This window comes from Homo sapiens, chromosome 4, assembly GCF_000001405.40.
Source record: "Homo sapiens chromosome 4, GRCh38.p14 Primary Assembly".
NCBI classification, from domain to species: domain Eukaryota; kingdom Metazoa; phylum Chordata; class Mammalia; order Primates; family Hominidae; genus Homo; species Homo sapiens.
The window spans coordinates 73,937,717-73,951,214 of NC_000004.12; the positions used below are offsets into that span (position 1 = coordinate 73,937,717).

The window sequence follows — 13,498 nt, forward strand, 5'->3', positions numbered from 1 at the left end:
TTGCAAACAGAAGCATACTCCAAGAGGTAAAGTTTTGAGACAGAAAATGGCATATGAAAGAAAAGTCTCAACATACAATATGATTGAATGACTTTTTAACATTCCACTGATTGCTGACTTCTTGGTCTTTATGTCAAGCAAAAACTCAATGAATCAGAAACACTATTCAGACACTATCTTTTGTTTTGTTTTGTTTTTGAGACAGAGTCACTCTGTCGCCCAGGCTGGGGTGCAATGGAGCAATCTCAGCTCACTGCAAGCTCCGTCTCCCGGTTTCAAGCCATCCTCCTGCCTCAGTCTCCCAAGGGACTACAGGCACCTGCCACCACGCCTGGCTAATTTCTTGTATTTTTAATAGAGGCAGAGTTTCACCATGTTAGCCAGGATCAGACACTATCTTAATCTCTTTGAGTCATTATTCTCTATGCACAAGGTAGAAATGATCAAATTGTGTGTTATCAGTGCTATCATGATGATAATAGAAAATAAGTATACAAACATGAGATAAAAGTGTCTTAAAAAATATTATCTAACTTCACATTAATTTAGGATTTTTTTTAAAAAAAAGACATTTATTCAGCGTCATGATCAGACTATTACATTTAGCAATCAACAGCATGGGTGCAAAAAAAAATCTACATTAAAACCCTTTGTTGGAATGCTTTACACTTTGCACAGAACAGAAACTAAAATAACCTGTTATACAGTTAGTCACAAATACAGTCCTATTTTTGCCCATACACATGAGTATTTGTCTAAAACATGTCTTCTTTGTAGCAGCTAGACCTTGCCACCACTGTGCTTGACTGAGTTCACAAATCTGTTATAACCTGAAGCTTCCCTGTCACTTCTCTGGCTCTCCTCTCCAGCTAAGCTTTGTTCCCTAATTAAAATCTTCTGCCATTGCCATAGCTACTGCTGCTACTGGAACCGCCATAGCCACCTTGGTTTTGTGGTTTGGCCAAGTATTGGCCTCCACCCCCATAGGGGTCAGAGCTTCCACCTCCAAAGTTTCCTCCCTTCATGGGTCCAAAATTTGAAGACTGATTGCTGTAATTGCCAAAATCATTGTAGCTTCCACCACCTCCAAAATTGCTTCCATCATTACCAAATCCACTATAGTCATCCCCACTGCCACCATATCCACTACCACCGTGGCTGCCACCAAAGCTACTATGACCCCTGAAGTTTTCTCCATGACCAAAGTTGTCATTTCCACCGAAACCACCTCCATGACCACCACCAAAGTTTCCAGAACCACTTCGCCTCTTTGGCTAGAGGAAGCACTAGCCACCTCTTGCTTTGACAGGGCTTTCCTAGCTTCACAGCTGTGGCCATTCACAGTGTGGTATTTCTGAATGACAGTCTTATCCACGGAGTCATGGTCGTCAAAGGTTACAAAGGCAAAGCCTCTTTTCTTGCCACTGCCTCAGTCAGTCATGATTTCAATCACTTCAATTTTCTCATACTGTTCAAAATAATCTCTTAGGTGATGTTCTTCAGTGTCTTCTTTAATGCCACCAACAAATATCTTTTTCACAGATAAGTGGGCACCTGGTCTTTGAGAATCTTCCCTTAGACAGCTCTCTTTGGTTTTATAACTCTTCCATCCTCCTTGCATGGCCTTGCATTCATGGCTGCATCCACCTCCTCCATAGTGGCATATGTGACGAACCCAAAGCCCTTGGAGCACTTTGTGTTTGGATCTCTCATTACCGCACAGTCCGTGAGCGTTCTCCTTTGCTCAAAATGGCTCCTTAGGCTCTCATCAGTTGTTTCAAAGCTCAACCCTCCAATGAAGAGCTTCCTCAGCTGTTCGGGTTCTTTAGGAGACTCTGACTTAGATGTAACAGCAGGGAGAAGAGAGACTTTAATGCTGCTTCTTTGGTGGCATCCACAGGCTGATTTAGGAGTTAATGGCAGTTATTGTTGAATTTGTCAAAAAGATTGTGATTAGGTTTTCAAATACAGGTATCTATTTTAAGAATGTTGACCCAATACCAGATTGATAATAGATTTAATAGATTTAATTTGTAATGAATTCTAGACTCTTTAAATTCCAAGATTATCAGATTCTCAGGTTTGTTTCAAATAACTTACTGCATAACCATAATCTTCCAGCTGCTCTAAGGACAATACAAATTTTTAAATCACATTAAATACTCCGTTAGAACTACCTTGTATCTCCCTTCTCAAAAATAATTACTTATTCTGACAGGTACTGATAACCAAAATGAGTGACTGAGGCAAATATCTCAATCAATCAAGATTTATGAAGCCAGCTTTAGGACACTGATATGTTAATAGTTTGGATACTTGTCCCCCCAGATCTCATGTTGAAATGCAATCCCCAGTGTTGGAGGTGGGGCCTGGTGGGAGTAGTAGTTTGGGTCATTGGGGTAGATTCTTCATGGCTTGGTGCTTTTCTCACAAAAGTGAGTGAGTTGTCCTGAGATTTTGCTGTTTAAAAGTGTGTGGTATCTTCTCACTTGCTCTCTTTCTTGCTCCCACTCTCACCATGAGGTATGTTGGGTCCCCCTTTGCCTTCTACCATGATTGTAAGCTTCCTGAGGCTCATGATTGTAAGCTTCCTGAGGCTTCCTCACCAAAAGTAGATGCCAGCATCACACTTCTTGTGTAATCATCATCGTGAGCTAATTTAATGTCTTTTCTTTATAAATTACCCAGTCTCTGATATTTCTTTATAACAATGCAAGAATGGTGCACAAGGTGTGGTCAGGAAAAACACACATGACAAACATCTGAAGACGTTTTTAGGAGGTTTAGTATTTATACATTTCCTTAAACGGGGGAAGGCATGTAGGAAGAAGGGCAGGTAGGCAGTATGGCAAATTGTTACATTATTGTGAGACTTTAGTTAGTGCCCAGTAAATCTACATTTTACTTAAGATAAGGGGAATGTTTGAAGAAAAAAAATAGAGTAAAGGAAGAATCAATTATGCAAACATCTCTGGGGAGGTGGGGGAAAGATCAATCTCCTCTTGTCTTTGTTCTTCATCTGGGAACATAATCTTGTAATCTGCTCAGTGTGGAATCTGTGGACTTGAAACAGACTTTAGTTTCAGACCTGAGACCTTTTACCTTTCTGTGGAGATCTGGCTAATGCATTATGTTAGCAACAGTTATTCACTTGGAAGAAGGTGTTGCATGACTCAGCTTCCAGGCTTAACTTTCATTTTGGCATAAGGAGTTTGGGGGTCTTGAGATTTTTAAAAAATTTTCCTTCATGACACTATAAACTGTGCTAATAATAACCATTTGCAGAGTATTGCTTTGTATCAGTACTATTCTATATACTTTTTGTGAATTAACTTGAAACCTTACAACAACCCAACAAGGGTTATTTTTATTTTACAGATGAGGAAATTCAAACTCAGAGGAGGTAAGTCATTTGGCAAGGTCACAAGATGTGGTAGAGATTTTTATTCCACACTTATTCCATGCTTATTCCGAGCATGTTTGGCTATGATGTCCATAACTTTCCTCTGGTCCACACAGCAGTGGTTATAGTGAAGGGTCAGAGAAGAATCCTGAGAAGCAGAAGGAAACTGTGGTTCTAGAATATGCACAAAGACAACTATGCCTGGTGGTTCATGTCATCATTTTTTGCAAAACTCCTGGACTAATGTTCAAAATCTTGATTCTCTTTCTTGTTTTGTATTTGAATAGTTCTGTCAGGGAGTAGATTAGGTGGACTTGTATTTGTTTCTTGCCCACAGAGCAGACTTCTATGTGCTCTGACTTGCTGCTATGAGACCAGGTCCATTTAATCTGTTTATCACTCCCCAGATCATCATATGTTTCCCCATCAGACTATTGAAAGCAAAAGGCACAACCCAGTCACCTGTCACTATCAATCTTAAGGCAGAGGATAAAATATTTCCACAGGGATACCATACACTCAGCTAAAGATAAGGCCCCTGATGTGGGCTTGCGGACTTAGAATTGGTATAGCCACATAAGCCTTTGTCTCGGTCTTCATGGGAAATCTAGTACAAATGAACTCCTGTCTTATAACTTTGATATTCCAGCAGAGGAAACATTGCCCAAACTGGCTATTGCAGAAGCTCCATCTCTGTATCTCTCACATCCCACCAGTTTCTGGAAATCTCTAACAGGAGATTTCAGGATAATTCTCAAATAAGGAATCGTAATAACAGAGTGGGGTCATCCATCATTCCTCTTTTTCTCTTGTAGTTTATTTGCCCCAAAAGTCTCAGGTACTGTTGACATTGTTGTCTGCCTCTCAAAGTCACAGGTCATGCTGTGTCACACTGTTCTAAGACTGATCTTTGAATACAGAGAACATCTGTTTTCTGCCCTCATCATCTGGTGACCATTCCCTCAAATAACCCTATCTGCCACCCGCTACCTTGATGACCTAAATGGAGGTCTGCTTGCACTCCAAATTTTCACAGAGAATTTAATGTGGTACTCACTTTTGCTATTACGACTTGCTCCAATAATACATTGATATAAATGACAGTGGGCTAGAGTACCAAAGATAAACATTGATCCAGGGACCCTCTCAAAGTTTTCCACCCAGACCTTCCTCTTGTTCTTCTGGTCATTCATGCCTTCCCTCCAGTTATGTAATGAATCTTTTTTGGTTTGGTTTGAAGCTCTCCAGTGTGGAGAAAATACCTAAGTCTTCTTTTCTTTAATTCAGAAACATTAACAATAGTTGCATTTATTGAAAACTAGCCAGAGGTGGTACCATTTTAGTTCCTCCCACAATTTCAGATTTCTTTTCTATAATATGTACATGTCTTTTTAGCCTACAAAATGTGCTTCGAAGACTGACTTTCAAAACCTTGTGGTAGGTTGAATAATGGCCCACTAAAGATGTCATTGTCCTAATCCCAAGAACCAGTAAATTCATCGCCTTATATTGTAAAAAGGACTTTGCAGAAATGATGAAATTAAGAATCTTGAGATGAGAATTTTATCCCCAATTATCCTGAGTGGGCCAGATATCATCACAATGTTGTTATAGAAAAGATGCAGGAGGAGTCAGAGTTAGACAGAAGGCAATGTGACAGAACAAAGGGACAGAAAGAAAGATGTGAAGAACCTAAGCAATGGAGATGTAGGGAGATGCAGAAAGGGAGCTATAAGGCAAGGAATGCAGATAGCCTTCGGAAGCTGGAAAGGTAAAAGAAACACATTCTCCCCTAGGGTCTCCAGAACAAACCAGCCTGTGGACACTGACTTTAGCTCAGTGAAACTGATTTTTGTCTCCTGGTCTCCCAAACAGTAAGATAATAAATTTATATTGTTTTTAGGTACTAAATTTGTGGTAATTTGTTCCAGCAGCATTAGGAAACTAATACACTGCCCCCATCTTCAATCAAACTGCTCCCTCTTTGTTCCAGAAATTCCAAAGCCACTACCAACTCTCAGGCACTGCTTAGCTCTTTGCATAAATGATTATAATGCATAAGTTTAGTAACAACTACAAAAAGGTGTAGCATTTTTAATACAATGAGAAAATAAAGTTTAATCAAGAAACTTAACCTCAAGATCACACAAGAGATGTTACAGCTGGACTCTATTCCCTGATCCATCTAATTATTCACAGCCTATGTTCTTAATCACCATATGAACTGAGTGCATCTTCTTTCTTCTTTCCATACATCATTAATGAAGTCCATGTTTGGTTTTTAACCACATTTTAAAATTTAAAATTTACACAGAGGGGATTCTGGATCCCAGGCAGATTTCCTACTAAATACCTCTCATTAAGTGTGTTCAGCTTCCTGCTTGCCTTGGGCCTCCCCCCTGAGTTGATGCAGTGAAAGTCACATCTATTGTCTCACACACTGGGACACACACTCCATAGGGTAAGGACAGGAAAAGATGATTCCTTCTGCTTGTAAAGGAGAAGGAAGAATTTGTCCCACTACCCTCCTGAAAGGGTCTTCATGGAAACACAATGAGCTAGAGCCCTAACTCCAACTCTTTGGGATGTAAATACCTTTCCCCTGGAACCTAAGAGCCCTCTGGTCTTCAATTTATGTGTCCTACTGATGTCTTTAGGTTCTGTGGGCTTCATCTCTTTTGATATGTAAATAATTAGGAAGATAGCATTCCACTCTCCCCAGCACCTTAGGGCTTAACCTAGGGACCAAGTCCTGGATGTAACCTTTGGGCTTTCTTGGGGGAGATTAGATATATTTTATTATTCTTTTGGATCCAGCCACTAATTAGAAAAATGACTACAGATTTAATTCTCATGGTCTGAGAAAAGAAAAAGTCACGGGGAGGGACTTATATGACTTCGGTTTGGGTGCAGTGGGGTCCAGGGGACTTCACGTTCACACTTCGGATATTCTTGGGGTGAATTCCCTGCAGGGTCTGCAAGCACTGGCAAGGCAGTTCATGGGCCACCCATACTCCTAGGGAAGAAGAGACTCGCTGGGTGAGCGGGACTGTTGGCGCGGGGTGCTACCCCAGCCGTGTCCCGCTCCGGAGACCCCAGGGCGCCGGGACCCATCTGCCGCTCGCCGGCCGGAGGCTACCAGGAGCAGGAGCAGCAGCGCCGCCCGCAGTAGCCGGGGAGCGCGGGGGACAGCGGGGGGCGCGGCGCAGTTCACCGGGCTCAGAAGGCAGGTCGGGCGGCGGTGCGAGGAGCGGGAGAGCTGGCAGGGAGGTGCCTGCAGCCCAGGCTCTGTGGCTCCCCAAGATCGGTGAACCCTTTTTATGCATGATTGGGGCTGAAAAGTCTGGAACCCCCGGGCCAGGGAAATTCTCGGAGCTCCAGGTCTATCCCGAGTACTGAAGAAAAGGGCTGGCCCCACCCCCGGGGTGGGTGGGTGGTGGGCGGTGGCTGGTTACCCACTGGTGCAGCCTCCCCGGCTCGCCTTCCAGAGTAACTCCCGTCGACTGTGGGATATTCGCTTTCTACCCCAAATCCCTGGAAGGTCATTGAGTCCACCTCGCTGGAAATACCGCCTGCGGGGAAGGACTTTGGGCATGGGGCCATCCCAGTGCGTGGGACGGGGAGGAGAGTTAAGAGCTGGGGCGGATCCCTGAGAACCACAACAGGGGAGGCGCGAACTCTTTAAAAGAGTGATAACTACTTAGTTAATAGAGTTGGGATGGGGGATTTAAGAGGAATTAAGGAGGGCTTAGAAGGCTAGATTTTGCTTAGCTGGCTATCTTCTAGATATCATATTCTCTATCTAACCTCTCTCTGTCTCTTCTGTCTCTGCTTTTCGGTTTAGCATATTTCACATATATCTGAAATCAATGCTCCCTGTAAAAATACAGCAGCCATCATGTCAGATTCCAGAGAAGAATGTTCTGCTTGCTCCTTGTGTTGCGTATTCTCTAATCACACATAGAATATCTTGTTTACGTTTTCCATTTGGTGGCAACAGATTATCAGTGTCAAAAGCTGAATCCAGTGTTAGTTTCAGTGGAAGCCCAGGCTGTAACATGACCTCTTTTTTTCCTATCCTGCATAACTTCCTTCCCTCTGAAATACTGGGACTTCCGAAATTCCCTAGAGATCTCCTTCTCCCCGTACGAGAGGTTCAGATTTGATATGACATAATGAGATTGGCTATCACTCTGAAGCTGGGCACTGGCTGTCACTCCCATATGTCACAGATTTGATCTATGACATGAGGGACTTGCTGGGTCCAGCAGCCTCATGGCCTATTTCTGGTTCTCTGTCTTTCAACGGCACAGCACATGACACTGGGGAGTGGGTACCTGGTGTGCAAGCACTCTTCCCACTGAAACAGCAGATATCCATTCAGATGAAATAGGAACACCAGGTCCCACATAGAGTCACATTCCATTTACTATCAGACTTTCTGGTATTTGATGTTGGACCTGCTTTCTCTGGAAACATAGGCATTGTGGCTTTCTGATCGTGAATTTCAGCCTTTTAACCCGACGCCTCTATCACTTTTTCTACAGCTTTAGAGAATTTATTTTGATTCATCATTAGGTTTTAGAGGGTTTTAGTGTGAATCTCCAAGTCAGTTTCAGACCTCTCTGAGACATGGAGTAAAACAGAGAGAAGAGAGGAGAAAGGAATGGCCTCTGCCTAGAGTGCAGAGCTCTAGGCAGCCCAGTTCAAGGCATAAGAGCCCTTACCCCTAGCCAAACACAGGGCAATACAACTTGGCTGCCTGCATTTAGTTGCACAGCATCACCTGCAGATTGTTTAACCTCTTTGTGCTAAGCCCAAGGTAGTTATGAGAAGTGAGTCAACATTTGTAAGAGCCATCATGGATTAAGTGCCTTATCAACGTTTTTTAAATAAATAAAATGGAAATAGCTTTTCCCAATGTTGCCTAAACAGAAAATCAACCTGCTATGAATTCTTCTATAAAGAAAAAAAAGGATCTAATAAAAAGGTTCACTCCCTAATTTTTTTTTACATTTAAAATTTTCTGTATCCCTACTGCCACCCAACTGTACTTAACTATACACAACACCATATAGAGCAGTGTGAGCCCTTAAGAAATCAAAGCAGGTCCTAGAATGAAGACTGTTCATATAAACGCAATCTCAGTGTCCAAAATGTCCTCATAGCTACTGGTGCTCACAGGTACCTGTGCTGTCATTACAGTAATCCTGGTCAAGGGGTGGAAAGGTGTGCTAGAATGTTGTGTTGCTTTAAAACAGATCCTATCGTTAGTATTTCTGCTCCAATCTTTTTCATTTATTTCCTTTCTCACATTTTCCTGATTACTTAAATTCCATGGCAGAAAGGATACAAGAAAAGCCTTGGCCCAATGGAGGACAAAATACAAAGTGCCCCAAATGTCTTCATCCATTTCAAGCTATAATAAATGCTGCAAACTTCTAAATTAAAAAAAAAGCAAAACACACACATACACACACACACACACAAACCTGAGGCTGCTCTGCCTATGGAACAGCCGTTCTTTCGTTTCTTTATTTCTCTAATACACTTGCTTTCACTTAAAAGATAAATTACAAAATAAACTCAGGAATTTACAAAAAATTAACATGAAATTAAATTTTCCATATCTGACTTTCAGAAAGGAAAATACATCTGTACTTTACTAGGGGATGCACTTAGATGGGAGGGGGGTCATTTTTTACTATTGAGACAGATCCTTAATTTATTTTTCAGCCCCAGTTTTAAACACTTCATCTGTAAAAAGAAGTTTAAATATAAAGTCTCCATCTTATTTATTGTGAAAGATGTACAAAATCCATGACTGTATTAAAAAATACTTGAGCATGAGCCTAAGAGAAAAACCAAGAGAATTAAAGGGAAATTCAAATTTGTATTGGGGGTAGGAAATGACATATAACCTAAAGGTTATAAAGTATGTGACTAGCTCATGAATGATTGAAAGGCTGTGTGATTACCCCTTTTATTGTTACTCTTTTTGGGGGATTTGATGATAAACTGGCCTAGAAATATGAAAGTGATTCTTTAAAATTTGAAAAATGTAAATGTATTGTTTTGTTTTCTAATGGTAGTTGTAATACATGTTCATTTTATAAAGTTTACCATAGTCAGCAAGGCATGAAGAGGTTTTTTTTTTCTCTCTAATCTCTCTTCACGTTTCTCTATGAAACCTACTTTAATGGGTCACTGAAAATTTGCTTGTTTTTCTTCAATAAACATAGGAGTTAATAGCACATCATAGGTTTACATACTCCCATTCTGGATTATGTACTCTGCAGGAAAGCTGTAAAATCTCATCCCTGTTTGTCTCCAATGAGTCTGGTTCATACTAAGCACTCTACAAATATTTGTTGAAATAATGGATAAATAAATGGCTTTGGGCCACTGTTTTAGAATCAAAGTGTCCTGAGGTGAGTACATATGGAAATTGCCCTTGAAGGACAGCAGCATTTCCTTAGTATTTTTTTGCCTATTTCAACTCTCAGTACTGAATAAAACCTCTCAGTAGACCTAAGATGATACAGCTGGACCAGAGCCAGAGTTTAAATTTTAGAGTAAGAGCTAAGGAAAAGTATCTTACCTGGGACAGCTCATTTCAGAATATGAACCTTGGCTTAGATATCTTTGAAGCTAATTTCTGCCAAGTCCAAAGAACACACATGGGACCTGCAAAGGCATTCAGAGCCAGATTACCTGAGCTGCTTAAGTCTGGAACAGAAAAGGAGAAATGTCAGAAATAAAGCAAGAGAGTTTGTCACAGATGGAGCTGGAGTATCGGTGCTTGGCCTTTATGGATCATCTGTCTCATGGCGGATGGTAGGAGCCAGCTAATTCAAGGTTCATCATCTAGACAGAAAGTGAGTAAATAATAGCTACACTTCCGACACATTTTTAAATTAATCTATGTGTATAAGGCACAGTGATAAGTTTAGTAGAGAAGGTAAAGTTGGATAGAGTCCAGCTTCTAATGCAAAATTCTTATTTAGCCTGTCTACTTTCTTTGGCCGTGCTAGATTATTTATTTTTCGGTTTCTGGCATGATAATCTGATGATATGATCAGTCTACAAATACTTAAAATCATTCAGATATTATTGAGAATCATTCAATATATTAGATTTTGTCAGTTTTTTGGGGGGGTAAGGGGTGGTTATTGGCTTTTAAAAGCATTTTTGTATGTTGTTTTGCCTCTCCATTTTCCTAAGATCCTTTTCCGAACTATTTGGAGCTGATTATTAATTAAATAAATGATACTATGATCACATAATGTAAAAAAAAAAAATCTGAAATACAGGATTGCCAAAATTGCAAAAGAGTAAGGAAATGAGGAAACTTCTCTTGGAAATAATTACATAAGAAATTTGTTTTGGAGATTAAAACATTATTATGACTTTGGCATTCTGGAAACAACATTTAGGAAGTTGAGAGATGAATATATAAACCACAAATGAAAAAATAGCATACATAGCATAAAAACACAGACTTCAGCTAAGAAAAGTTTGAATAATCACAAAAACTTGATTTAAATATCATGCCATAGTATTTTCAATGTTCCGTATCCTCTACTTTTTCAGTCAGAAATATTTTTGGTTTAATTTTTTTTTCTTTCTGGGCTGTGTCCATATATTCAGAAGAGACATCTGAACAATACTGATTTCAGAGGGATGGTTCTGCTGGTGTGTGACTGAGCTAGTTCATTGACTGACATTTTTGAAGTAGTTAAGGATACTAAAGAAATATGAGATTTAATTACATATTGTGGAAATTATGGTGAAAGTGGAGAAACAAGAACTTGGTTGTGTGTAATATATCATCTGTATGACGCACATTAGAGTAAATATCTATTATCATATAAGATTGAGTGAGCATATATTGTAGCATCTGTGTATGATTGGACTATGTGGATGGACAGATGAGGGGAACTCTTAACAGAGTCCGTAATAGTTACAAATGTGACTGTAATGAAACGCCAAACAAATCACCTATGAGACAAATGGCATGAGCATGTCATAATGTCTATAAATAACTTGGCAAGATCTGTGAGCCTAGCATGGTCAGGAGTTGGGAAAACAGTATTTTTAATGTTCAACCAACTTTGTGTTGGCTGAATGCCTTATCCTCAACACTAAACTGCCATTATTACATTGTATTGCTAACTACAGTATTATTCCTCTTCATGTAGTTAATATTTGACCAATATTTTTTAACGTCTATTCTATTAGGCATTTTTCTGAAATATAGAATTATGAGATGGAGTAGGCTTGGCCCTTATTTTAAAGGAGAAAGGGAGAGGCCAGAGATCAAATATCCCGGTTCCTCTGTAGCTGATATCTCCGGAAGATAAGCAGCCCAGACTTGAGTTTCTAGATGGATACAACCAGGTGCATGTCCAAGGCACAGAGGAGGGTATTTATAACCCATGGTAACATTAAATGCAGTGCCTTCTCCTGGTTGAGCAGGGCAACAGTCATCTGTGGCTCCAGGCATCCACACACTATCGTTAGTGTAGATTTCTGCAGGAGCATCTATCCAGGTGAGAGGTCGAATAAGTGGAGGAAAAGGCACATAAGCCCAGTAAGAATAATTTTGTGTAGCAGGTAAATCAGTGTGGGAGGAAACTGGAGAGACAGAAAGTATAAGGAGGAGAATCATTAAATAAAACCCATAGTAAGCGAGATTGAGTGCTGAAGGAGGAAGAGAAGAACAGAGGGATGTTACTTTCAGGCTAATAGAAATGGTGAGATTTTCAGGTTTGTAAAGAGAAAAAGAAAGGTAATCAGGAGAAGTGGGATTAGTTAGATGGGTCTCCATTGCCACCAGGGAGGATTGAATCAGACCCATTGTGATTTGGTGTGCCTGCTTCTGAGGAGTTGGCACAGATCTCACCACGTCTGAGGGCAGTTTCTGACACGGACATCTTTTCCCTGTGGTTTTTGACAATCTCCTGGTGAAACACAAGCATATCCTCTTTCCCACATTAAGTAGAATCAGAGACAATATTTAAAGGTTTGGGGAAATCCTCTAAGGCAGTAATTACAGCAATTAACTCTGCCTTTTGAGCAGAGGTATAAGAGGTAGAAATAAGCTTGTCTGTAGGACCTACATAACCAGCATTGCCATTACTGGAGCCATCAGTGAACACTGTAACAGCCTCAGGAATAGGCTGATCTATGGTTAATCGAGGGACCACCCAATACGTCATTTTTATAAAATCAAACAATTTGTTCTTTGGATAATGATTGTCAATAACACCAATGAAATCAGCCAAGTGAATTTGCCACAGTACGGAATGTTGAAAGGCGGCTTGAACTTCGAGCCAATTTAAAGGAACTACAATTAAATTCCATTCAAATCTGGAAATTTTAAGTATTATACACCATGCCTGTCCAATTAGAGTAGCCTTTTGGTCCAGATAAACAGACAAAGTTTTTGACACAGAATGAGGAAGAAAACACCACTCCACTAAGTCATTATGTTGAACTATTCGTCCTGTAGGGGAGTGTAATGAAGCGAAAACCAGAAGCTGAAAAGGCTGAAACGGCTGTACTCTAGATAACTGGGTGGTCTGGATTCTTTCCTCTACGAATTTCAGTTCTAGTGAAGCCTCAGGGGTCAATGTCCTGAGACGGCAGAGATTGGAATCTCCCCACAGTATAGAAAACAAGTTAGACAGCTCACAGGTTGGAATGCCTGAAGTAGGTCTTAAATAATTAATGTTACCCAAAATTTTTTGGGAGTCATTTAAAGTTTTTAAAGATTCTCTCCTACTTTGAACTTTATGAGGTTTAGTACATTGTTTATTGACCACCATTCCTAAATATTGAACAGGAGTGATCTGTTGAATTTTATCCTGAGGGATGTGTAATCCAGCTTCTGTAACATGGCAGCTCAAAATTTGATAACAGTCAATTAATTTTTTATCAGTGGGGGCAGCAATTAAAATATTATCAATATAATGAAGAATATAGGCCTGGGGAAATTGGGCTCGAACTGGTGAGAGCACTTGTCCAACATAAAGCTGGTAGATTGTAGGGCTATTCAGCATTCCCTGAGGAAGTATTTTACATTGATAATTA

General features: G+C 40.3%; 2 pseudogenes; both read right to left on the reverse strand.

Moving 5' to 3' along the window:
- Positions 558-1,913, reverse strand: HNRNPA1P55 (heterogeneous nuclear ribonucleoprotein A1 pseudogene 55; annotated as a pseudogene).
- On the reverse strand, positions 6,279-6,777 carry CXCL1P1 (C-X-C motif chemokine ligand 1 pseudogene 1; annotated as a pseudogene).